The sequence below is a fragment of the Homo sapiens genome, chromosome 7 (assembly GCF_000001405.40).
Source record: "Homo sapiens chromosome 7, GRCh38.p14 Primary Assembly".
NCBI classification, from domain to species: Eukaryota; Metazoa; Chordata; class Mammalia; order Primates; family Hominidae; genus Homo; species Homo sapiens.
The window spans coordinates 157,557,623-157,584,306 of NC_000007.14; the positions used below are offsets into that span (position 1 = coordinate 157,557,623).

Consider the following 26,684-nt stretch of genomic DNA (forward strand, 5'->3'; position numbering starts at 1 on the left):
ATCTTAACTAAAGACTTATGAAAATTATAAGCAGGTTTTTTTTTGCTGACCTTCTAGATAAATTATATTGTCTATGTTGTAACATATTGCTGGGATCAAAGGAGGCAAATCTGCATCTTATTCACTTGAAAATCAAGTAGATCAGAATCATAACAAACTAGCTATTTCTTATGTTTTTTTTTCCTTTGAACAAATTCTAAATCCTTCTTTTGGAGAAACTGAAATGCCTCCAGATCCTTATTAAAAATATAAGTTAAAGAAAATGTAGAAGTGTATGAATGAGTACTGTCATTTTAAAGTCACCATCCCCAATACTCCAGGAGGACAGGGAATTGTGCAAAATATCCTGGTAAGTTTCTATCGACTGCTGGACCATCCCATAATACTGTTGAGGTGCTGGCAGCATCAACGCGGAGACACCGGACCTCTGCACCCCTGTGCAGGCGAGCACAGCTTCACAATTCAAGGGGGGATTGTTAAAAGGGAAAGACGAATACGATGGCTCCACAATTCCGAGTCCTATCTGTGTGTGAACACGTGCACATTGGTGCGACGCGGTGCCCACCGCAGTTTGCTGCCATCCCACCTACCTGCCCTGCACAACCAGTGCCAGGGCACCGGGGCAGGACCGAGATGCAAACGCAGCGTCTGTGCTGACAGAAGAGGTTTGGGAGCAGCACGAGAGCCCCAAGGCAGGGGACTGCTGAGGTACATCCTGGAGCATCCGTGTGATGGGGCACACGCAGTCATTCCCAGATCAGTGCAGAGCACACACACCCACATGGGGGCCTCCACGATGTGGCTAGGTCCTCAACACCTATGTCAGAATCAACAAGCATGTGCGGTCAATGGCGTTCAGGAGGCCGTCTGCAGCTGAGTAACAATCACACCAAATTGTGAATATTGAACAGGTGGAGGAGAACAGGAGCTGGGCTCACCCAGGGCAAACCTTCTCATGCTGCCTGGAACACGCACACACCACTTGCACCTTTTACCCAAAAGGTGCTCATGCACTGGTCCAGCGGGGATGCGTGAAGCATGCAGCCAGCTCCCCTCCCAGGCCGCACTGACTGCTGGTACTGCTGCTTCCGGGGGCCTGGCCTTTACGGGGGTCTGGCAGGATCCCTCCTGCAGGTGCACAGCCCAGGCTCTCCTCCCCCTTGCTCCTGTAGGGCCGGCAGCTGCCTCGGTCCCTCTGAGTCTATTTTGGGTTCAGAAAGTGCCTGGGCTGGGGACAGGGCCAGTTACGCATTGACTCAGTTCCGTGGCTTACAGTGCAAACACAGAGACCTTGTCCCATGCCCGTGGGCTCATGGTCAAGGACACTTTGCATCATTTGACCTCGGAAACAGGAGAAACGGAAGCACAGGCCAAGGAGGGAGCCGAGGGGCCGCGTGACACTGCACGGGATCGCTGCCCTTCCCACACGCACGTTCTGTCTCACGCAGTTGCTGTGCATTTGGAAGAATCTTGCATGAGGATTACTGATTCCACGGGACAGCGTGTGACCCCCTGCAGCACCCTGACTCCATCGGGGGACCCCCAGCATCCTACTCAACACTACGAGGGAGCCCCACTGCCAAAAGGCCAGGCTGCATGTGCCTGGACTTCAGGCGCTAGGAACGGACGCTTGGGACCTGCTGCCTCTGGGGACAGCCCCTCAGGGTCTGGACGGAGGATGTTGGGCCTGCGGGCTGGGCAGGGATGATGCTCTGGGAGGTGCCTCCAGGACAACAGGGAGACCCCTGCAGCCCTCCACATGGGCCCCTGGAAACCCAGGATAGGGAGTGGCAGAACACACTGGCGGGGGCTGGACGAGCAGAGGAATGAGGGAAGGACAGAGTGGGTGGGAGCGAGAGCAGAGGAGATGGAGGGGGGACCACAGACTGTGTGGGGAGGGCAGCTGTGCCGCAGGAAATGGAGCAACCAGGCTGTGAGCAAGATGCGCACAGAGGACGGAGAGGACCCAGGGACTGAGATGAAGGAGTGACTGCCCGGCAGCAGGGAGCAGAATCAGGCAGGCAAGTGCGCAGGCCGGGCCAGCCTGGACCGTGGAGCTGTGTCTCCAACGGGAACCTTGGAGGGCAGGACTTTGATCCCCTCCCGAATTTCCAAACAGGAGTTTGAACAGAAACATGTGGACTCAGGGACCAGTGCTTCGGGCACATCCTGACAGCGACACAGCTGCCCCGACAGGGCTGTGGCCCCCCCCGCCCCGTCTCTCTCCTGTGTTCTCTCCCACATTCTCAGGGGCCGCCTGCTGCCAGCTCCCTCGCTGTGGCCTCATCCAGCTCCTGCTGGCGTGGTCTGACCCCTAAATGTGTGCCAGCAAGGCCTGTGTTGGAGGGAGGGGAGGGCCTGGATGGGCCTGGATGGGCTGGTGCCAGCACCCGGGACCAAGGAGGGAGCTTGCAGAAGGGACAGCCCTCGGCCAGGTGGGACCTGAACGACATTTTGCGGCATCCAATGGGCCTGAGGTGTCTGCGTGACCATGAGGAGAAGCGGAGGACAGCCCAGGTGAGGACATCAGACCCAGGAGTGGGTGAGGAGCCCCTGCAGCCAGGCTATGTGAACCCTGGCTCAGCAGGGTCAGCCTGACCCCTTGAAGGTGGGAGACCCCTTGAAGGTGGGAGACCTGTGAGCTGGTACACTCAGTGAGGACGGCTCCATGCACAGGGACGAAGACCCCCGAGGAGACCATCGAAGGATGGTGGGCAGTGCTGCCCACACGGATGCCCAGAGCGTGTTCCCCAAGACCAGCGGGTCTCATGCTGTCCACACGCTCCCACCAGGCGATCGACACCAGGGTCCGCCTGTGCCCTGCCTGGGTGGGGTCAGCCACGCCCCCGGACCACTGCTCCAACCAGCGTTCGTCGTCAGCCCCTTACACGGGACAGGGCACTGCAGACCGGCCCGGGAACCTGGGGACACCTCACGCCCCACATCCCTCACTGTTTCTCTTGCACCAGAATAGCTCAGGGGAAGGAAAGGCACAGAAAATAAACAACACACAGCAGAGGAGGCCCTGCTCCTGCCCGACCGAAGGCAACTTCTCCCTTGAAGAGAAAGGTGCAGACAGGCTCCCTCTCCCCTTCCCTCCTCCCACCTCACCCAATTCTGGGCACTTTTTCAGCCTGAAACTTGCCTGAGCGAGACAAGAGACACTGCGGGCCCAACGTGTCTGTGAGGTCCCTTTCCCACTGGCCCTTCGTGTTTTCATGTTTCAGCCAAACATAAAAGCGAGACGTCTCCTGCTCAGCTTTCCCAATTCTGCCCAGCCCTCGCGTCCCCCTAAGTCTCATCTGCAGAAGGCTGAGCCTCATGCACCTGCACCTCCTTCTCTTGGTGCCTGCGCCCAAATGTGTGGCTCTGTCTGGCTCAACCCTCTCCTGGGCCCCGTGGCTGAGCTGGCCTGTTCTTCAGTTCCAGCTCCATTCCCTGGCCCTCTTAGTCCCGCACTGCCTGGCTGGTCCCCCAGCCATCTGGTTCTGCACTGCCCAGCCATGCCATCCCCTCGGCCCCCGGGTCCTGTACTGCCCGGCCAGTCTCCCCGCCCTCTGGTTCTGCACTGCCCAGCCATGCCATCCCTTCGGCCCCCGGGTCCTGTACTGCCCGGCCGGTCTCCCCGCCCTCTGGTTCTGCACTGCCTGGCTGGTCCTCCAGCACCTGCCTGGGTTCTCCCACTTCCCTGCAGACTCCAGGCTGTGCCCAGAGAGAGCTGAGCTCGGCGGCCCAGGCGCCTCACCACTGGCCCTCAGTTTCCTCTTCCTCCGGTAGTTTCCATGAGAGCCCCAAAGGAACTCCCCAGCGAAGCTGCCCCTCTGTCCCTGGAGCCCTGGAACACACCACGCTGTGCCTCTGAGCGCCGTCCCTGGGGCCGTGTGCCTTCCACCATCCTCCCTCTGGGGCCCTGAGCCTTTGCAGACTGAGCAGGGTTCTGCATCTGACTCTGGCTGACCGGAGGCCTTGAGGCAAGTCACCCAACCTCCCAGAACTGCTTCCTCAGCTTGCAACAGAGTGGTCAGAACGGAGGGCCCCTTGGGCCCCCTTCCATTCAGTGAAAAGCTTTCTGTGGGTCCTCCTGAGCCCCAGGACAGCCCGTGAGTGAAGCTGCCATCTCTGCATCTGGGAGTGTCCTTGTCTGCTCTCCACCACCCTGCAGCCACAGACTCCTTACCTGTCTCTCGGCAGAGCAGGAAGATGCAGCAGGAGGATGGGGCTTCTCTGTTTTGCTCTCACAACCCACGCCTGGCAGGCAGCAGGTGCCAAACCAGCATCAGCGTGGATCCAGCATGCAGTGGACGCTGCCCTGCCATCAGCTGGAGCCACACTTTCACGGTTTACCCTGGCATCTGCCAGAGAAGGAATGGACCAGTGGGACTCCAGAGAGGACAGAGGGTGGGGGATGCACCCTGGGGAGGGGAAGGGTGCGCCCCCCACGCCACAGAAAAGAACCTGCAAAGCCCTGAGTCCTGGAGCCAAAGGAGGCAGAGTGGCCCACCAAGGGGGATCGGCAGTGGCCAGGTTGCCCAGGGCTCTGGGGACAGCTCGCCCAGGGCTCTGGGGACAGCTCCAGGGCCGAGGCAGGCACCCAAGGTCTTTCTGTCTAAAGCATCTTACTGACTGCTGTGTGACACCTAATCAGGAGGAGAAAATGGAGCGGGGAGACCAGCACACGAGGGGTGATGGGGCTGGGCCCAGGGAGATGAGAAGAGGGTGAGGGTGAAGTCAGGAGCCACCGTAGTGCCACCTTGGAGCCGTGTGGCCCCCAGGACCTGCTGTGGGGGAAGGAGTGACTTCCAGCTTCACCGCCTGGTGTAGCCACTGTGGCTTTGTCATGCAGCTAGTACAACTGAAGAGCTGACTTGTAAACTTTATCCAATTTTAGTGACTCTAAGGAACCACATGTGGCTACTGTATGGAACAAGGCGGCTCTGGAGGGCTGCTGGCCTTCAAAGTCCGGGGACCTTCAAAGTCCGGGGAGCCACAAAACACGATTCGACAAAGACGTTCTGCTGTCACCACACACAGCAGATCAGGACCATGTGCTCCCGCGTCACCACACACAGCAGATCAGGACCACATGCTCCCGCGTCACCACACACAGCAGATCAGGACCACGTGCTCCCGCGTCACCACACACAGCAGATCAGGACCATGTGCTCCCGCATCACCACAGACAGCAGATCAGGACCACGTGCTCCACGTCACCACACGCAGCAGATCAGGACCACGTGCTCCCATGTCACCACACGCAGATCAGGACCACGTGCTCCCGCATCACCACACACCACAGATCAGGACCACGTGCTCCCACATCACCACACAGCAGATCAGGACCACGTGCTCCCGCTTCACCACACACAGCAGATCAGGACCACATGCTCCCACGTCACCACACACAGCAGATCAGGACCACATGCTCCCGCATCACCACACACCACAGATCAGGACCACGTGCTCCCACGTCACCACACACAGCAGATCAGGACCACGTGCTCCCACGTCACCACACACAGCAGATCAGGACCACGTGCTCCCACGTCACCACACACAGCAGATCAGGACCACGTGCTCCCATGTCACCACACACAGCAGAGCAGGACCACGTGCTCCCGCGTCACCACACACAGCAGATCAGGACCACGTGCTCCCACGTCACCACACACAGCAGATCAGGACCACGTGCTCCCGCATCACCACACCACATGCAGCAGATCAGGACCACGTGCTCCCACGTCACCACACACAGCAGATCAGGACCACGTGGTCCCGCATCACCACACACAGCAGATCAGGACCACGTGCTCCCACGTCACCACACACAGCAGATCAGGACCACGTGCTCCCACGTCACCACACACAGCAGATCAGGACCACGTGGTCCCGCATCACCACACACAGCAGATCAGGACCACGTGCTCCCACGTCACCACACACAGCAGATCAGGACCACGTGCTCCCGCATCACCACACCACATGCAGCAGATCAGGACCACGTGCTCCCACATCACCACACACCACAGATCAGGACCACGTGCTCCCGCATCACCACAGACAGCAGATCAGGACCACGTGCTCCCACATCACCACACACCACAGATCAGGACCACGTGCTCCCACATCACCACACACAGCAGATCAGGACCACGTGCTCCCACATCACCACACACAGCAGATCAGGACCACGTGCTCCCACGTCACCACATGCCACAGATCAAGACCACGTGCTCCTGCATCACCACAGACAGCAGATCAGGACCATGTGCTCCCACATCACCACACCACACACAGCAGATCAGGACCACATGCTCCCGCACACGCTCGAGGCAGCAGGCTCTCTGCTCCATGGCCCCTCTCGCTTCCCACAGGCAACTTTCCATCTACTACTTGGGCCTGCCCTTAAAAGTTAAGAGAATATAGGAGGAAATCTAAGAACAGATAGCAGAAGGTCTTTGTGACCTTGGATTTGGCCAATATATCTTGGGTATGATACTAAAAGCACAAGAAAAAAAAATATATTTTTGAGATGGAGTTTCTTTCTTGTTGCCCAGGCTGGAGCGCAATGGTGCGATCTCAGGTCACTGCAACCTCCGCCTCCCGGGTTCAAGTGATTCTCCTGCCTCAGCCTCCTGAGTAGCATCTGCCACCACACCTGGCTAATGTTTGTATTTTTAGTAGAGACTGGGTTTTGCCACGTTGGCCAGGCTGGTCTCGAACTCCTGACCTCAGGTGATCCACCCGCCTTGGCCTCCCAAAGTGCTGGGATTACAGGTGTGAGTCACAAGAAAAATATTTTTTAAAAAGTAAACTGGACTTCATCAAAATTGAACACTTTTGTGTAACAAAGACACTATCAAAAGAGTAAAAAACCCCGATGTAATGGGAGAAAATACTTGCAAATTACATAGCTGATAAGGGAGTAGTATTCAGAATATATAAAGAACTCTTAGAATTCAACAACAAAAAATACAAACAGCCCACTTCAGAAATGGGCAAGGGACTTGAAATGTCTGTTTTGCTCAAGTTGATATACAAATGGCCAATAAGCCATTAAAAGATGTTCAACATCACTAGTTGTTAGGGAGATGCATGCTAAAACCACATTGAGATCCACTCACATCCACTGGGATGGCTGTAATCAAACAGCCAAGAGATAAGAGAATTACGGTCGATGTGGCGATTCCGCCCCAGGGACATATCCAGGGATGTGGGTGGACACCCTCACATCCACATTCACAGCAGGATTACTCACAACAGCCCAAAGCCGGAAACAACGGCACTGTCCATTAATACACAAATGAATCCACAAAGTGCGGTCCATCCATGCCATGGAATATGAGTCAGTCATAAAATGGAAGTTAGTGCTGACACACACCACGACACAGGCCAACCTCGAAGGCATTATGCAAAGTGACATATAACAGTCACGGAAGCGCAGACGCGGTATCACTCCACTTAGATGAGGTGCGTAGTATATTCAGATTCGCGGAAACAAAGAAGAACGGAAGTGATCCATCCCCGTAGGCAAGGAGATGTGTATCCACACACAAAATAGTACCATGTCCAGTCGCTGAGTCTGAGAGCTGGGTCTATGCCCGTGTGGACACCCCACCGTCCACTCACATTCACGCCGTGAGACTACTTAGGAACGTACTCCTAGCCAGCTGAAGTTTAAAAGGTCGCTCCAGCATGGGCTCACAAGCCGTGGGGATTCATATTGGAACACAAAATTCCCGGTCTGTGGCTCCTGCCAGACAAAAGAAATGAGTCACCCCAGACTCACTCTGCACCTTGTCAACAGCCACAGCTGCTGGGGGATCATACAGTGTCTGCTTGGCATGGCCTCCATGGTACCTGGGGCCACACAGGCACCCTCTTCCGGCCCAGGCGCAGACCCTGGTGGGAATGCCGTGGAAGTTTGGCCACACTTCTCAGCCACTGCATTTCTGTGCTGGCCCCTGGGGAGTGAAGCCTGACCCCACCCAGCATGGCTCAGCCCACCTCATCTCTGGGGAGTACCCCCTCAGTGCTGGTTGCTCCTCATCCCTTTAAAAAATTGTGGGGAAGTAGAAAAATACCCTCAGTAAGTGAAGTCACTGACAAAAAAGTAAAAGGCACAACCTTGGAAAATATCTTGCTTGAAAAAAACATGTTTTGCTACATGTGAGCCAAGCCCTTCAATGAGAGAGGAACAGGCTACCTAAAAACAGATTCCTACACAATCGTCTATTATCGGTGAGTTAGAAACGCATCTGCTGCCACAGAAATGACACGTGTAAGCGCTTCCCAGATTGGTGCCTACTTTCCTGCCACAAAACCCATTGCAGAACATGAGCCTGTTGACTTTCATTCCAAACTGCATCATCGTCTACTTGCTGCTAAACTGGACAGTAGAGAAAGAACTTCAACTATTCTGAGTTTGTTTTTAAAGGCCCTTCAACTAGGCCCAAAGGCCTTAATCCCTGATGGGCTGTGTGGACAAGTGCTGCTCTGCTGTCTGCGGCCGCAGCTGCTGGAGCTAAAAGCATGCAGAGGCCCTGCATGCAGGACTGGAGGGCCCTAACATCAGCGTTGGCACTGCCCGACTGCCCGGGAAGCTTGGGAAGGGCATTCTCTGGTCTTCTGTAATGCATTCCTTTACAGAAAGGGAAATGGGAAGAAAGGTTTCACGTCCAGGACTCTGGGCCTTTGATCATTTGAGAAACGCTGGGTCTGCAGTGGGGGCCTCCAGCTTCTCAGGCCAGACAAAGACGCCCCGCCACACGGGCAGGGCCCAGCCTGCACCAGAACAAAACCCCAGCGCCTCTCAGTGTGGAGGCCTGGGAAAGGCCCACCTCAGCCGGCAGAGGGGCTGCCTGCCCTTTGATCTCTCCTGAGACTGTGGCCTGGGACCCGGGTCAGGGAATTTCACACCGCACACACCCCAGGGAAAGAGGAGCAGGTCAAGAACAGGAGGAGGGTCACCAATCTCAGAAAAGGCCCCAGGCCAGCCCTCTTTGGCCATTTCCACATGGCTGCATGCGTATTGTCCAAAGCTGAGCCCACTCTCAAAGGAGAATTGACATCACATGCCACAATGGAGCCAGTGAACAGCAGCTCAGGTGCCTGGACAATATGCCAGCCCTGCCCCCCGTACCGGGGTCTCGAACCCAGGACATACTTCTCCATGTTTCCTTCTCTGTGGAGTGAACCTGAGCCACTCAGAACCCAGGCTCCATCCCATCCCTGTGGAGACGCACGCTGGGGTCACCTGCGTCCGGCCGCCTGCCTGTGCTTCTGGTCCCTGGATGGGCAGGTTCCATTGGAATCACAGGTGCCCCCAGCAACTCACCACATCACACGTTCACAAACATAGGCTTGGTCAGAAACACTTACATCAAATGATCTGTAACGTTCTGAAGACATTTTGGTTTAAGAGAAGAAAAATCTTTGTCTGAGAGAGGGAAAGAAGGGAGGGCCCATGATAAGTGGAGAAATACAAATTCCATGGATGGCTCTGAGCTCCAATAGCTGTAAATTTGGAAAGGAAAAGAAATATTTGACAAGACACAGCAGCATTAATGGACAAGGAAAAATGGACTTTTAAATGACAAAAAGTTAGGATTGTGTCATGTCCAAAACAAACAAAAAAAGGATTAAAAATATTATGAGTGTTTGCATTTTGTTTTTGTTTGCACATTCCCACCACTAAACTAATCTTGGGTGTTTAAAATGACATTTGGTGGCACAAAAACTGATTTCATTTCTCCCCAGCAGCCAGCAAAGGATGCTGGCGGTGTTGGGTAGGTGTGGGGTGTGGGGCTGGGCTGCAGCCCTCCCCTCTGCTGCAGGACGCTGGAGAACTTGCCCAGGCTCTCCAGTCCTTCTGCGTAAAGCCATGGCTGTTGTTTTATCTTCACATATTTATGTCTTTTTTTTTTTAACCAGAAGAAAATGAAGTAAGGAAAATGCTTATTTTAAAATTGCTGGCATTCGTGGAAGTGTATAGAAACTTGTTTCTATAATCAATGGCTGCTCCTGTCACTGGGCCAGTGATGGAGAATGGGATGTTACGGAAGGCGGAGGTCTCTGTATGAACACATATACGTGTGTGTGTGTTGAGACAAAGGGAATTGTTTATTCACAGCTGGGAAAGAGACCGTAGGATGCTACCACCTCGGTGCCTCCCACCTTCCATGGGACGCTAACGGGTATCGCAAGGCTAATGCAGACTCTTCTCAAGTAAGTGTCGGAGGCGCCAACTGAAGGGAAGCTGGACACATCTCTCTGCCCTGGACTCCTTGGGACCTCTCCATGCACACCTGCCCTGTGATGCCCAAGGAGCAGACTCAGTGTGTGCCTCCTCTCAAGCTCACCTGCCTGGGGAGCCTTCTCTCTGGCCCCTATTTAAAGAGATGACCTTAGAGGTTGGGTATTCTGGAGACCACCTTTTGAGAAATGCCAGAGCTCAATCCCCATGCTTTTGTAGGAGAAAATTGGATCCCAGAGAGGTTAAAAGCTCTGTCCAAAGTGATAAACCTCATTGCTGGCAGAGCCAGACCCGCGCACAGATCTGCTTTTCCACGCTGCTGCTGGACCCATCCTCGCACCCTGCGCCTCATGTCTAAGACTCCCCACGCCGTCTGCGCATGCTGCCGCTCTGCCAAACCTGTCCTTCTCCCACCACAGGCCTCAAGTCTAAGACTCCCCACACCGTCTCTGAGAGGAACGCCTCCCACAGCACGCACAGAGATTCCCTAGATAAGAAGGACATTCACAAAGAGGGCTGAAAGGCTCATTTGAGAGGGGGTGATTGACATTTGATGGCAATTACTAACGGATATTTTTAGTGTGCCTCTAGTGTGAATACCGTTTTGACAACAGTGGAGTTACACCAAATACTGGAGCGGCATTCTGCACTGCAACAACACTGAAGGACCCGAGGGTGGCTTCTCCGTGGCTCTGAGGTTAACGCTGCAGCGTATGCAGCAAACACCTGTCAAGGACCCACTGTGTGCTCGGCACACCAAGGCAGGTAACAAAGGACCCAGTGCATGCTCGGCACGCAGAGGCAGGTAACAAAGGACCCACTGCAGGCTCGGCACGCAGAGGCAGGTAACAAACGACCAGCCTCAGAAGCAGATGTGCTTGCTGCAAACCACCTTCCTACGGCCCAGCAGAGGCACAACAAGCAGCGAATTTTTTCCAGGGCCTCCCGTGAACACGGCACCCTACGTTGCCATAGCGACGCCATCCCAGCTCTGAGCCGCAACAAAGCGGCAGTGTCTGTGTCTCACCTTTGGCCATCTTGTTGAGAACCATGTCGATCAGGACGTAGGTGCCGCTCCGGCCTGCACCGTCACTGCCAACAGAAGGAGAGAAATGAAAGTGCTGCCGTCCACACGGAAGCCCGACCCACAACAAAGCTAGTGACAGTTCATTTCCTTCCTGCTTACGGGGGCCGGCGAGAGGAAAGGATGGCGGATGTGAGAGGGGGAGGAAGGACGCGGGCTGGGAGAATCCAAGTGAGGGGAGAAGGGAGGCCCCTGGGGGCTTCGAGCCTCTGAGCAGCTTGTAGCTTGTGGGATGAGCTGCTGTGCTCAGATGTGACTCCCTCTTGCTTGTTCCCCCCTCTTTGGCCAAAGATGTGGTAAATTTTGCCAGAACAAAATGAACTAAGCGTTTGACTGTGTCAGAGTTGATGGCATTTGTATTGAAAATATCTGCAAGGTGCCTTCTCTAGTGTTGCCGGGCAACCTCCCGAGCGGAGAGGGGAGGGCGCTGGGCGGCTGGGCCCCGCTGGCTCATGCACGCAGGGACACTTCAGGCACATCCCCCTAGGCTGCCTGCCACCCCTTCTAAACGCAGGTCCTCCGTCTCAGAAGGAGAAATTGACATAACAGTCGTTACTAAATCTTACTCTTTAAAAAGCACTCTCATTTCATCTCTTTCTCATCCCACCAGCTATAATTGGAATATTTACCATCTGGGCTAGAGTTGTAAAAATGTTTTGAATAATACTTCAACAGTAGCAAAGGAAAAAAAATTTCCCTTTTTTTCTGGAAGAAGAGTAGCCTCAGGATCATCCTTTTCTTATGAGGAATGTGTGAAGCCATTTCCTGCCCCCGTGCAGACGCTGTCACTGGGTTGCATGAGTTTGAGAGACCTTCTTAAAAGTACATAGGGCTCGTGTTCACACCCATGACTGGCTTTTAAACAGAGGACCTTTTACATTTATAATCCTAGCAAAATCAATTGTGACTTTCCGGAAAACGAATAAATGTTTCCATTTCAAGACTTCAAGAAAGATGTGACTACCCAGCAGATATCACACTTTCGGTTCTGCTTTCTATGCCGTCTGTGATCCCAAGAAATGACTGGAATCCTATAGGTGATCTTTTGATGGTAAAGAATCAGCGCATTTTGGCTTTAACATGTTTCCTCAAACAAATGGTTGAAAAAAGCTGCAGTTGGGATGGTAAATGTTTAAAAAACGGCACGTTCACATCCTCACACCCTCACTGCATCACCAAGGAGGAGAGGCGGTCGGCCTGGGCCGCCACGTAACCCTCACTGCTCATTTCAAAGGGCCACGGTGAGCATTCTGGTTGCTGAGTGCCTTTCTCACTTGTCTCCTATGCACAGCATATATTCACATGAATATTTTAAGATATACTTCAAAAATCTTCCAACTAAGTGTTGCTTGTCTTGATACATTTGTGGGTAAAAAAGATGTTCTACTCTACTCTGTAAGGATAACAAACCGTAATCTATTTTCATCCTCCTCTCTCATAGACAGGAATGCACACACAAAACACACATGCTTCTTGATTGGATTTGACAGATTTGGTGTTTGTTCTTTGGAGACAGGTTTCCTTTTTATTCCAGGCAGGAAGAACATTCTATAAGACAGTTCTAGAAAAATGGAATATGAGTTCTTCACCAAAAGGAGTTGGGTATGAAGTCCAGCAGAGACAGTACTATTAGGTTGAGTTTTCTTTGCGTAAAATCTATTCTTACTGGTGTGGTTTTAACGTACTTAGGGATATGAGTCACTGAATTTTTACCCAGAGGCCTGAACCCACATGATAAACTGGAGGTGGCTGTACCTCCTGTAATGACAGATTTCGTCCCTGTACATAACTGGCCCCAAGCATTTCTCACCATCTGCAGAGGGTTCTGAGCCTCTGCTGGACGTCCTGGTGGTTGAGACAATGCAACAGGCTGAAACCATTGTCTCGATGTTTCTGTGTCATGGGACCACAGGGTTTAAGAACAAGCAAGGTGGCAGGACATGCTCACGGGTGAGTAGAAGGCAGGACACTGCACCGTGGGCTGCTAGAAAATATTCCATGTGAGGCCTCGCGCGGTGGCTCACGCCTGTAATCCCAGCACGTTGGGAGGCCGAGGTCGGTGGATCATTTGAGGTCAGGAGTTCAAGACCAGCCTGACCAAATGGTGAAACCTCGTCTCTACTAAAAATACAAAAAAAATTAGCCGGGCGTGGTGGCGGGCGCAATCGCTTGATCCCGGGAGGTGGAGGTTGCAGTGAGCCTGACGAGACCACGCCATTGCACTGCAGCGTGGGCAACAGAGTTAAAAAAAAAAAAAAAAAAAAGCAAGCCATGTGCAGTTTATACAGACATAATACAAGCAACGCCCAATTGTATTTACCCAAATGGCATAGAAAAGTAAGTTTATATTTTTGGTTTCCTTTAGAAGTGCCAGTTAGTTATATTTATTAAGCAATTAGAAAGTTAAGCTTCTGTATTTAATTGCATAGATTAGTTTTTGAGGTAGCCAAAACTTCTTAATCCATTAAAAGTTGTACTTGCCTGCAATGAACAATTATTGGACAAGAACGGCCCCTGTAGCACTTGTTTACTTTTCTGAAATAAAAAGAGATATAAAAATTATCGTTGTGTACTAAGACTTTGCGTTATCCAAAACAACTATTAAAACAAAGCGCAAGGTCTGTGTGTTTGAAATCATTTTGCAATCGCTTGTTTTGACGGAGAAAATAAAAATCATACGCATAATATCAAACATTTATTCTTCTTCTCAACATGACGTTATTAATCGGAGCTTTAAAACCAATGTTACACCTCTACACTGCTTTCTTCTTCCAAGGAGGGGTGCCAGGCTTTGAACCAGTGGACTCCCGGCCTGTCCTGCCCGTCCCACCCCTGCAGGCTCTCCTCTTTCTGTTTCTGCTTATGTTGACTTGACCTTTTGTTACACTACATCTTGATTCTTCACTAAAATTTTTGAGTTTTGCAATTTATGCTCAAAATTTCTTAGTCCAGACATCATATTGAAAACTGTTATTTCCATACTGTCTAAAAACAGCATCTTCAAGGGCATTTGTGACCCGTCAGCTTTTGGTAAGGATATCTAAATTACGGAGAAACCTCTATGAAGTCCAAGACAAGTCCCTTCCATGCTTATAACTTTGAGTATACAAACAACTTCATTGTGCAGAGTTTAGATCAGAAGTTGTAAAAATTAGAAATGAGCATATATTTAAGATTTCATAACCAACCCCTAAATCAAAACAGAGGACTGATTTAAAATTCACTGTGTAAATCCAGGTGTTTTTTTTTAATTCAGTGAAACAATGAAACATGTTTATGAAGTCCATTAAAGTTGTCAGTGAACTATTTCTGAATAAGTAAAATTAAAGGCGGAACCTCGGGTTATTGGAATAAAGCATGTGTGAAGGAGAGTGTTCTACAATGTGCTGCGTGAACTCCTACAAGAAACAAATTAAGAAAAATGGAAGTATGGACCATCAATGGGAAAATGTCACGTTTCTTTGCAAAGCCTTGCCTATCCAGCACCAAAGAGTCCGTGGAAAGTAAACATTCCATCAACCGGTGCTTTGCTACAAACCTTTGAAGCCAGGAGGGGCAGGGTGGCTGTGGAAGGAGAGGGGAGGTGAGTGTCCAGTGAGCATGAGGGGAGGGATGCTTGAATACGGCGGAGCCCAAACCACAGAGCTTTCTCCTCCTCTCTTCCTATTCCCTGAGGAGTTACCAGAACAAGGCCCTTCTGATGGGAGTGTGAATGCCCAGTCTGGAGGGCACCACGGGAGCTGAAGGAGCAGTTGCAGGGACTGGACTCGGCGTGCCCACCTGCAGATGGGCCGCGGCCACAGCCTAGCCAGGACGCACTTGATCTGTGCTGCCCTCTGGTCTGTGAAACACGAGGCTGATGCCCAAAAATGGGCGGGCTCAGACACAGGCACAACCAGCAACGGCCTCCAGGGCCGTGTCACCGTTTCTGTTAGAGGTGTTTGTTGTTGTTTTTCCGGGGCACACAGTGGTGCGAAGGCTTTGGGGAGAGGCGGGGAAGGCAATGGTGAACTCCTTAGAGGCAACAGCACTTGTATGCCAGAGTGCCTTGAACATTCTTGGTCCCTGGAGAATAAAGAGGTTGGAAAACAGACCCACTTATGTCTACTTCTACAATTTTCCATTCCTGACTCAGGCTGTAAAGCATCGAGGGCTCCTGATGACAGAATGGATACCAGGCCTCAGGGGTGCACCCCAGCATGGGGGTGGGAAGCCCTCCAGCTCAGTAAAGACCATGTGTGTGTGCATGAGACTGCACGCATGTGTGTGACGTGAGCACGTATGTGCACACGTGTGCACGTGTAGAATCAAGCAGGCTCAACTATCAGACCAAATGGTGAGTGGCTTTGCTTTGAAAGGCCTTTTGCCTTTGGCAGAGGAGTTTACTGGCCATGGCTCAGCCTCTGAATCTTGCAAATGGGAATGACCTCAGTTCTGCTCCTCCAGCTTCCTGCTGTGTTTCACACCTCGTGGTCCACTCTACGCAGAGACTAAGCTCAGCTTCTGGGTCCACACCCACCAGTCACCAGGGGTTGCTCATTTTTTCCTCATGAGACCAAGTACACCCAAAAAAGGGACAGTAAAACAAACCAAACCCCAAACCCCAAACCAGATACCCTTTAAGAAAGTGTGCTGGTTTGAGGAAAGGCCAGCATAAGAAGTCAGTAGACAGCGGTGGCTCATGGATAGCTGGTCAGCTCCTGCTTTGGCAAAATGCAGTAATAACCCCCTTGGCTGGGAAATGCTCCTAGCCAGTGAATTTGTGGCTACGATGGCCTCAACCTGCTTCCCCACTCCCGAAACTCCTGTCTCTATCTCACAGTATACGGAAGATACCATTTTCTCTGACATGTTGTGCCTGGTGGCCTTGGGAAGGTTTCGCTGTAATTTTCATATCCGTACCAGCCCCCACCTTGTGCTCAACCTATTTACAAAAACCCACGGGCAGTCAAGGACATGTGCAGTGTAGATACAGGGTGTGGCATGGCTGAGGACTTTATTTACAAAGGATCATGCAGTTGTATTATTACACGCAAAGCATCACAAATAGAGAGGAAAACCACGACATATTGAACACAAGAGTTCATCCGGTTGACCCAAGATGTAGACCACGAGTTATTCAGGAAGGTGACACAGCCGTCTCATTTGACTCCATCAGAACAAAGAATCAGTGAGCAAAAGGTCTCCAACAGTAAGAAAAGTTGGTATCATAGAAACTTCCACAACAGGAATTCACTGAGAAAGAACGATTAGTGATACAAACCAACCCAGGGGTCACCGGGCGAGAGCGCACCGTCATGCAAAGCACCAGCAAGCAAGGTCAGAGGTCGTTAGAGGCTCAGAAAAGGGGCTTTCCACATCGCCCCTGCAGTACAGTCACAGTTTCCAATGATCACTTTTGTGACTATGCAACTGGGCTCATATTACTAGCTGCAACATCACAAAAATGACACTGGCCACCGCTAATTAGCTGGCAAGGTAAGGGTTTGTCCGTTTTACCGTGAGCAGCGTTAGTGAGCACCATTGCACACAGCAAGAAGGGAGAGAGTAATAATGAGAGAGAGAGAGAGAGAGAGAGTTTTTAAAGCAAAGCCCTCACATGTGATGCTAATTATCTCTTAGCAGTTTCTCTTTAAAGTGTAAATGCGCTCCCTCTGGGCTCCAGAAATATTTAATCACACATCTCGGTGCCTGGCGAACGCGCCAGGCCAGAGTGAGAACGCGTCGTCTATTGTTCAAAGATAAGAAACGCTGCAGCATGAAGATGGCCGGTGTCTTCAGAAGGGGTCTCACCTTTCCTGTCGCTGAAATCGGGGTGGCTATTTTATACAGAAAACCAGCCACCGGCAATGCTTGTCTAAGTGTGAAGCTTTCTGAGAATGTGTTCGCTCAAACCCACTGTCCAGATAACACATGAAAGGTGGCCTTGGCCGAAACGCTGGGCGGTGCCAGGTAAGGCAGGCAAGAAAAGCTTTCTACTCTGACGTGGCTTTCAAAACCGTGTCTGGGGGTTCATTAGCTTTTGAATTTAACAAAAACCTTCTTAGGCTGTATCTCCTCAGACCCTGGAGCAAGGGAAATTTGGGAATCCAATTTTTCTTGGTGATGAATCATAAACACTGAGGGTCGGTGATGTACATGTTCCCGTCCATATATGGATATGGACATAGCAACGTGCCCATATGCATATACGTGCAAACACACTGGATGAACGCAAAGACGGGGTGTTAAGATGAATTGCCGTCTTTGTAGTTACATCCATTTTGCCAGGAATGACTGTTTTTTGAAGACTCTATTTCAGGAAATTATGTAAGATTTCTACATAGTATGTCTTTAGAAATAAATCCGTATTGACAGAATGTACATAATGGCCAGGAAATTAGCGTGGGTGAGGAAGGAGCCGTGTACAGTAGTTGTTTTAGGATGTACTCAGGACTCTGGATCTACGCTCTGCGTCCCCAGGGGAGGTGACGGCAGGCAGGGGCCACTGAGTGTGTGTTGTGGCTGTGACACCAGATTCAAGTGTCTCCTTGCAGAGGCTCTTGATTGATTTCTATTGATTCAAATTACAAAAAACTGCATTTTGCTTTTCAATGTAGACTAAAAGGCAAAATAAATTGAATCATAATAAGCTTCAGAATCTGTAATACACAAATTCAAGAATTCCACAGAGAATTCAAAAATCGCTTCTTTATGACAATCTTTGTCTCGTTAACCTCCCTCCAGTTACATAACTGTAGACTCGAGAATGAGTAACTGTTAAGAATCAAGTCACTTTATGATAGTGGGGCATGGCATTGGATTCAAATGCATTTTTTCTTCTTATTCTCCTTGTTTGGATATTTGTCTCTTTTCCTCAATAGGTAGACTTCTGATCAGTTAAATGTAAGACATATTCTATACAATTTAGAGCTTCGTCACTGATGCTTTTGACAATTTCATTTTCCTTGTGGTGGTTTATTCACTAAGCACCACCACCTAGCCAATGCGGACCGACTGTTTACCACAATCAAAGCTGTGGTCTTAAATGCTGCTTTTTTTTCATTGTCAATTTCTTCCTGTAAGACAGAGTCTAGCATTCACTTCAACAGTTCAGTAAATACACTCTCAAACCAGACAACGTATTGGGTGACTGGCTGACTGGAGCAATGAACAAAAAACTGAATTTTTTAAAGAGGGTCAGTTTCAAAATAGCCCTAAAAATACAGACAGCCACGGGCTAAGTGTCTCCGGGCTTCCCTGCAAGATCACGCAGGGTGGTATCTGGGCCTGCGCTCGCTACCTCTTTCATCCCATGCAGCCAGATGAGAATCCAACTGAACATCCGAGCTTTATGCATCAATATCCTGTGGCACATACACTTTAGGCTCTTTGTCAACTGAAGAACCTTATCAAAAATAATGGCCCTATTTCCACAGTTCGAAGATGCCTATTCCCCCTCACATTTTAATACCTCTGAAGCTAGAAAATCGCTCACGATTAACACGTGCCGTTAACGGAGTCTTCCCGCCTCTCGCTTCCCTTCCCCTCCCCCCTGCGGCGCCGACACAGACGCGGCCCTCGGCGCCAGGGGCGTCTCAGGAGCACCGAAGCCTCGCTCCCCTGTGCCGCGCGCTCAGCGCGCACTGCCCTGCCGGCGGGCCGCGCGTCATACCTGCGGAAGTCCAGGAGGGACCTTGAGGAGGAAGGGACTCCTCGGTCATACCAACTCAGGAAGTGGAACTGCGTCACGGTGCGCGTCTCGTTGGTCTGCAGGTTCTTCAGATAGAAGCTCCTCACCAGGAAGTCCTCACACCAGATGTGCTCGGAGACCAGGTTCACCTGGCAGGGAGGAGCGGAGGGAGGGGACAGAGACAGGTGTGGACATTGTGAACCGAACCTCAGGCACTGAGGAACCCAGGGCCACGTCTGACCAGAGAAGGGGGCGCTGCGAAGAGGGCACATTTTACAGCGCAGGTGGGTTCCCTCGGCTTCGCGGCCCCCTCCCACCTTCCCAGTGTTAACGCACTGAAGTTAGCTCCGTGCGGGTGTGTGTGCTTAGTGTTATTTAGGGGCTTGAGCGTCAAATAATTTTTTAAAAGGTTACAATCCAAAACTATCCTACTTTCTGTCTTTTGCATGTCCATGTTACATAAACCCTCAAAAAAAGGAACCAGAGAAAAATTACACTTTTCAACAAAAGCAGCGACACGACTACATGTTCTGCTCAGTGGTTCCACTCTAAGTGAGACTCCGTCGCAGCTGCGCACACCCGGGTCTAGAGCAGGAAAAGCAAAAGGCTCACGGAGTCGCGCTGATGTGAACCCCAGCGCAGGCACTTCCGGGCCTAAGCGTTTCTGCAGGAACCCCAAGGCCACAGCTGTGTGGTTTAAGGTTCACACTTGAGCCTCTAACTCGCTTCCTGCTGTGGAGCTTTGGCATTCTCACTCATTTAATGCCAAACAGAATCAAAGCATGCATTCTAGTGCTGGCTTAATCACCCACGTTTATTTAGTTCATTCTTGATGGGGGCAGAAAATCCAGCCAGATAAATAAACTGGTGAGCAGGTTATCCTCAAATAAAAAGGTCACATGATCCAGCCACGAAACTCCAAGCAGAGCCACGGGGAGGCCACACGGCTCAGGCACTGGCATCAAGGATGGGCGCCAGGTTTTCTTAAAAACGGACCCCACTTAAAGGCTTGTTATATGGGACCGGGACCACGCTGTGAGGCGAATGTTTTTTCTACTCTGTTATCATTTGGATTTAGAAAAATCTAAAAGATAAAAACCACACCACACTCCCAGGGTCTGGTTCATGAGCACACAGCCGTGTGAACCATCCACACGGGCATGCGGCCCTCGGGGGTGACTCAGCCTCCGTCCCCTGAACATGGGGTGCGCTGAGCCTCCCTGCATGCGGCCCTCGGGGGTGGCTCAGCCTCCATCCCCTGAACATGGGGTGCGCTGAGCCTCCCTGCATGCGGCCCTGGGGGGCCCTAACGAATCCCATTCGGAGGAGGAGCAGGGCCCGTCCTCGTCCGGCTGGTGGGTCCTGCCCTGGGTGGCTCTGGTCGGAGTACCTCATAGATGTGGTAGAGATTGGAGCCTTCATCCGGCCAGTAGTGGTAGCACTGCCGGACGCCGTTCTCCGCGAGGGGTGTCAGCATGACGATCACCACGCAGCCGCTCTCCCACACCATCTGCGGACAAAGAAGGCCCGTGGCCGCGGTGTGACTGTCTCATCACCGCGTGACATGTGTAATTACTGCACTCGGAAGCACAGTCCAAATTTATTCCATTCACAGGACATTTATTTCATTTTCATCAGACATGTTTACTCCGCAGCTGCCTGAGCATCTCTGAATGCACTGGCCCATAGTTTGCATGTTCCACGAAATATTAAAAAACCCCGCAAATTTATCCCATGCCATTTAGAGCTTCCTCAGGTGTAGGTTCAGCTGTGTGGTTTTCCAACTTCTGATCTGTAAAGGAAACTTTCTACAACGCCACACATAACAGCCAGCACTTCTCGAGGCGGTGCCGACACCCTCACTTGCTGGTGGCTAGCATCATTTTGCTCACCTAGAGAAACGTTTTGCTTCGTGAAGCTGCTGTCCTGTCAGAAGCAGCCTCCGAAAGGCTTCTTTTCAAAGTACTTCACGGAAAGCAGTACTGCACTGCTGCAATTTCATTTGTTTATACCGAAATATGGCAACACTATTCAGATTAAAGCAAATACCAAATTGATTTACTAATTCCTATTAGCCACATTGAAACACAATAAACAAAAGCACATTTAAACCCACAGAAATTACAAAGACACAAAGTCCTCTGACCTCGTTTCTTTGCAAACACAACTGGCTACTTGTGGCTGTAAACCCACATCTTAACATTTACAGCCTAACTACCCAAAACCACTAATCCTGTGGGGCACACTGATGTGGCATTTGTAGATTTTTATTAGCATATGAAATTATAGAGTGAAGAGGGGTCTGCTTTTTCTGCAATGGGTTACATTAACTTGGCAGAAATGTTTATAAGCAACTGCATTTAGATGTAAATTTGGTATCCAAGACAGTTTCTATTTCTTTTAAAAACAGACACAAAATCCAATTAAGACCTTGTTATTTTAAAAACCCTCATATCCCAAATATAAAATGCTGTCATCGTAGCGCATGTTACTGAATTCCACATTTATATTTTAAAAATCAGACACAAACACGACATTTTCCTTTTTTAATATTGATTTATGTTCTCACGGGGCTGAAATAGTCAATATCCTCAAGGCACCTCACTGTGTAACATTTACATCGGAAGCCAATGGAACCAACTGAAGTATTTACAAAACGCCCACAAATAAATAAGAATTATGCTCAAATTTGTGCACTTTCTCTTTCCTTAGTGCCCATCCGACAACAAGATGAGAATTCAAAACATGTTTCTTACGCCAGGCTTTTCAGGCTTTCAAACCTGCTCCTCCAAATCGGTTCTTCCATCACATAACAATTTAATGTGCCTTCAGAAGGTGGAGAAGCTCATGGAAGCCATTACGAAAATGAGGAGAAACACAGATTTTATGAGTGTAATAAAAATACAATGATCTAGACCATAAACTAATCATCCGGCACTCGGCTCCGTGCCACCCAAGTGTGACATTACAGAGCCCCGTCGACTGGGGGGACCCGGACGGCCTGGAAGCCGCACTCATTGGCTCTCGCGTCCGCCCTTCATTATGGGGCGCCTTCCCGGCTCTCTGAAGATTTGGTTAAGATTAAATCCAAATGAAACTTAATTTAAACAAGCAATCCCAAAGGCGCTCTGGGGAATAATATTTCTTTTTAGGTCACTGTGTATAAAAGCAGAGAGGGGAATTTACTAAATCAAACAAATAGGCAGCCCAATTGGGTACCAATATTACAAGCTGTTCATGGAACTGATTACATTATCTTGTGTTCCTTTGAATCGGTACAAAGCAACTCAATCGAGGAGGAAAACTATGGCATTTCTCCATCTGTTTCCAGCCTTCAACAGCGCGCCTGACCAGATAACCTCAGAATACATCGCAAAAAGTTAATTTGGATTTTGGTATGAATGCAGAATCAGTAAAAATCCCAGTCGAGTAAGGTTCAATTTCTAATCGGGGAGAAGTTTCACTATTTTCTTTCTCATTGACTTGGTCTTTGCTGACAGGTGAAATACGGAAGTGCTAACCCCTGGCACCTGTGAATGTGACCTCATTTGGATACAGGATTTTTCAGACTTAATCAAGTTAACATTGGTTTGTGTCACAAATCTTTGAGAAATCTAAAACTGTCTCTTTCAGGAAGTAAATAATGACCCAGGATCCTTATTTAATCTTAATGCAGTTCATTGGAATGCGCAGTTTACAAAACTGTATGCCTGAATTCCAGAAATGACCATTACTGGCACTTCCTGTTTGGTGAAGGGTAAGAGAACACGGCCCCCATGGCCACCTGCACAGCCGAGTACCTGCACACCCCAGCACCTGCACACCCCAGCACCTGCACACCGCAGCACCTGCACACCACAGCACCTGCACACCGTGGCACCTGCACACCCCAGCACCTGCACACCCGAGCCGAGCCCCTGCACATCTGAGCACCTGCACATCCGAGCCCCTGCACACCCCAGCACCTGCACACCCCAGCCCCTGCACACCCCAGCCCCTGCACACCCCAGCACCTGCACACCCGAGCCCCTGAACACCCGAGCCCCTGCACACCCCAGCACCTGGACACCCGAGCCCCTCCACACTCCAGCACCTGGACACACCAGCACCTGCACACCCCAGCACCTGCACACCCCAGCACCTGCACACCCGAGCCCCTGCACACCCCAGCACCTGCACACCCCAGCACCTGCACACCCCAGCACCTGCACACCCGAGCCCCTGCACACCCCAGCCCCTGCACACCCCAGCACCTGCACACCCCAGCACCTCCACACCGTGGCACCTGCACACCCGAGCCCCTGCACACCCCAGCCCCTGCACACCCCAGCACCTGCACACCGCAGCCCCTGCACACCCCAGCACCTGCACACCCGAGCCCCTGCACACCCCAGCACCTGCACACCCCAGCACCTGCACACCCCCTGCACACCCCAGCACCTGCACACCCGAGCCCCTGCACACTCCAGCACCTGCACACCCGAGCACCTGGACACACCAGCACCTGCACACACCAGCACCTGCACACCTGAGCCCCTGCACATCCCAGCACTTGCACCACCATCCCTGGATCGAACCAAAGTCACCAACATGGACTGAAAATGAGCCGCAAGTGCTGGATCCCGAGTGTGAACGGCTGGCACCACGCTTTGGAGGAAAACTGATACTCCCCAGTTTTACATACTTCTTCTCCAGTGCAGCGTCCCCAGGCCTCAGCATCCCCCTTGAAGGCTCTAGCTGTGCCAGCTCTGTGGGCCTGGGGTGGGGAGGGGAGCAATGTTGCGCTTTGCTGTTTATGATTCCAGAAGGAATGGAAGTGGTCAGCCCAGTGGTTCTCAGAGACCACCAAACACAGGGGTTAAAGCCTGCTGCCAGGCTCTGTGAACCTGAGCCATCTCGACGCGCCCGGCAGGGACACAGCAGCTTGCTGTGAGGTCTCCTGACAGCTGTTCAGCAGCAGCAAGTGGAGAAATTCAGTGATTCGGACAGTGACCCAAGGAACAAGAAGTGCAGACTTCGGCTGTTATTTGACCCAACTGAGTAAGTTTACTGACTGTAGATTTAAAAACCATATTGTTGTTTGTTACAGGTTCAACGCTGTCCTCCCCACAGCTTATATTGACGTCCTAATCCCTGGTATCTATGAATGTGGCCTTATTTGGAAACAGGATCTTTGCAGATGCAACTGAGCTGAGGGTGGGTCCCAATCCAACGTGACTGTGTCTTTAGAAGAAGAGGGAGACACCTCGAGAAGGCACAGACACGGAGAGCGGCCACGCGCAGACAGGCAGAGATGGAGTGTTGTGGCCACCCACGCCACACCCCTCATGGCAGGCGGCCACGGGACACTGCAGAGGCCGTGAGGATCTTCCCCCACAGGCTTCGGAGAGCGTGGCCCTGCTCACACCTGGATCTCAGACTACCAGGCTCCAGAACTGCGAGGGGATGCCCTCCTGTTGTTTTAAAACAACGAGTTTGCAGCACCTTGTGATGTCAGCCCTAGCAAGAGATGCATCCGCTGCAACCTCACTCTCTTCTTCACCCATCAAATCACCCACAGGCGTGGAACAATGGCCACCCCGCCTACGCTTCCTATCAACACCGATGGAGAGGAACACAGGGCCTCTTCACTCTAGGTCCTTTTTGAGTGCTAAGTATTTAATTAGCAAACAAACAAAAAAACAAATGACCCAACTAAAAATGGGCAAGGGATCTGAGCACACATTTCTCCAAAGAAGACAGACAAATGGCCCGCACGTATGTGAAAAGGGGCTGAATGTCATCAGCCATCAGGGAAATGCAAATCAAAACCACAGCGCACTGGCACCTCGTGCCTGTTGGGATGGCTGCCACCGAAAAGAGGGGGATGGCAAGTGTTGGAGAGGATGTGGAAGAGACGGAACCTTACACACTATACGGTAGCAATGTGAGTGAGGGCAGCCTTTACAGAAAACAGTATGGAGGGCCAGGCACGGTGGCTCACACCTGTAATCCCAGCACTTTGGGAGGCCGAGGCAGGTGGATCACGAGGTCAGGAGTTCGAGACCAGCCTGACCAACATGGTGAAACACCATCTCTACTAAAAATACAAAAATTAGCCGGGTATCGTGGCATGCACCTGTAATCCCAGCTACTCAGGAGGCTGAGGCAGGAGAACCTCTTGAACCTAGGAGGCGGAGGTTGCAGTGAGCCGAGACCGTGTCATTGCACTCCAGCCTGGGTAACAAGAGCAAAACTCCACCTCAAAAAAAAAAAACAAAACAAAAAAAACAATAAAACCAGTATGGAGAGCCTCAAACAATTACACAGAACCACTGTGTGATCCAGCAATCCCACTTCTGGGTATAGACCCAAAGGAAATAAAATCAGTGTGTGGAAGGGACATCAGCACCCCTTTGTTTATTGCAGAACTATTCACAATAAACAAGATTTGGAACAACCCACATGTCTGTCAATGGATAATGGCTAAAGAAAATGTGGTATATACACAATGAAATATTATTCAGCCTTAAGAAAGAATGAACTCCTGTCATTTTTGACAACATGGATGAACCTGGAGGACACGACGTTAAATTGAAATAAGCCGGACACAGAAGGACAGGCACCCCATGATCTCACTCACATGTGGCACCTAAAAAGGACGAACTCAGGGACAGAGTAGAAGGGGGGCTGCCAGGGCCTGGGGCTGAGGGTGGAATGGGGAGCAATTGATCCAAAGGTAGTAACTTCCAGTAGAGGACAGCTGAATTCTGGAGACCTGGCATTCAGCATGGTGACTGTAGTTAATAAGAGTGTTGGGCACAGAGATTTGCCAGGAGAGTAGGCTTCAGGTGCTTCACCACACACAAAGAAACGGTAACTACGCGAGGAGACGTGTATTCATTAGCTTGACTGTGGTCATCATTCACGATGTCTGCGTGTGTCAGAACATCAGGCTGTACACCTTAAACATTTACAATTAAAAACAACTCGACCGGGCACAGGGGCTCGCACCTCTAATCCCAGCACTTTGGGAGGCCAAGGCAGGCGAATCACTTGAGGTCAGGAGTTCGAGACTAGCCTCGCCAACATGGCAAAACCCTGTCTTTACTAAAAATAGAAAATTAGCCAGGTGTGTTGGTGGGTGCTGTAATCCCAGCTACTCAGGAGGCTGAGGCAGGAGAACTGCTTGTGCCTGGAAGGCAGAGGTTGCAGTGAGCTGAGATCATGCCACTGCACGCCAGCCTGGGTGACAGAGCGAGACTCTGTCTCAAACACACACACACACACACACACACACACACACACACACACACACACACACACTCTTAAAATAAGCTCTCCTGAAGCCCCACAGAGACCTGATTTAAGGGAAGATGATCAATCTGAAATAGTGAAACACTGGAGCTGGATGTGGTGGTGTGAACCTGTAGTCCCAGCTAGTTGGGAGGCTGAGGTGGGTGGGAGGATCATTTGAGCCCAGGAGTTCAGGACCAGCCTGGGCAACATAGTGAGATCCCATCTCTGAAAAACAAAACAAAAAACTGAAATAGTGAAACGCCAGGCCATTTTCTCTACAAAACATCCCTGGGCCCCTTCAGGAGGAAAGCTTCTCCTCCTTCTACTTAGATCTTTTGTGATGAGTCCCTTCCTGCCTGTGTTAGTCTTGTCTTTAGCCCGTATGTCTTTCCTCTACC

The 26,684-nt window shown here is 51.0% G+C and overlaps 1 protein-coding gene and 1 non-coding gene across 9 annotated transcripts in view, besides 3 other annotated features; both read right to left on the reverse strand.

Annotated features, from left to right (window-relative positions):
• PTPRN2 (protein tyrosine phosphatase receptor type N2) overlaps positions 1–26,684 on the reverse strand; it is a 1,048,768-nt gene that overhangs the window by 18,567 nt on the left and 1,003,517 nt on the right. For all 8 annotated transcript variants that reach the window (XM_047420678.1, NM_130842.4, XM_047420679.1 and 5 more), the window contains 4 exons: positions 20,399–20,518; positions 18,991–19,157; positions 13,818–13,871; positions 11,280–11,344 (listed from right to left, as the gene is read on the reverse strand). In XM_047420678.1, coding sequence (XP_047276634.1) covers positions 11,280–11,344; positions 13,818–13,871; positions 18,991–19,157; positions 20,399–20,518 — 406 coding nt within the window. The remainder of the gene's footprint in view (positions 1–11,279; positions 11,345–13,817; positions 13,872–18,990; positions 19,158–20,398; positions 20,519–26,684) is intronic.
• Positions 4,853–6,052: an enhancer, noted in NCBI's record as "P300/CBP strongly-dependent group 1 enhancer chr7:157355168-157356367 (GRCh37/hg19 assembly coordinates)". NCBI's record gives its function as "activates an origin of replication core promoter dependent on BRD2, BRD4, P300/CBP, MED14 and CDK7 cofactors, with strong dependence on P300/CBP, by STARR-seq in HCT116 cells {active_cell/tissue: HCT116}" and the evidence as "EXISTENCE:reporter gene assay evidence [ECO:0000049][PMID:35650434]".
• Positions 5,480–5,680: a silencer, noted in NCBI's record as "peak6873 fragment used in MPRA reporter construct". NCBI's record gives its function as "represses an SCP1 promoter by STARR-seq MPRAs in K562 erythroleukemia cells {active_cell/tissue: K562}" and the evidence as "EXISTENCE:reporter gene assay evidence [ECO:0000049][PMID:32103011]".
• Positions 6,718–7,917: an enhancer, noted in NCBI's record as "P300/CBP strongly-dependent group 1 enhancer chr7:157357033-157358232 (GRCh37/hg19 assembly coordinates)". NCBI's record gives its function as "activates an origin of replication core promoter dependent on BRD2, BRD4, P300/CBP, MED14 and CDK7 cofactors, with strong dependence on P300/CBP, by STARR-seq in HCT116 cells {active_cell/tissue: HCT116}" and the evidence as "EXISTENCE:reporter gene assay evidence [ECO:0000049][PMID:35650434]".
• On the reverse strand, positions 16,714–16,800 carry MIR153-2 (microRNA 153-2). The gene has a single exon (NR_029689.1). It is a non-coding gene; the product is annotated as a microRNA 153-2 (primary transcript).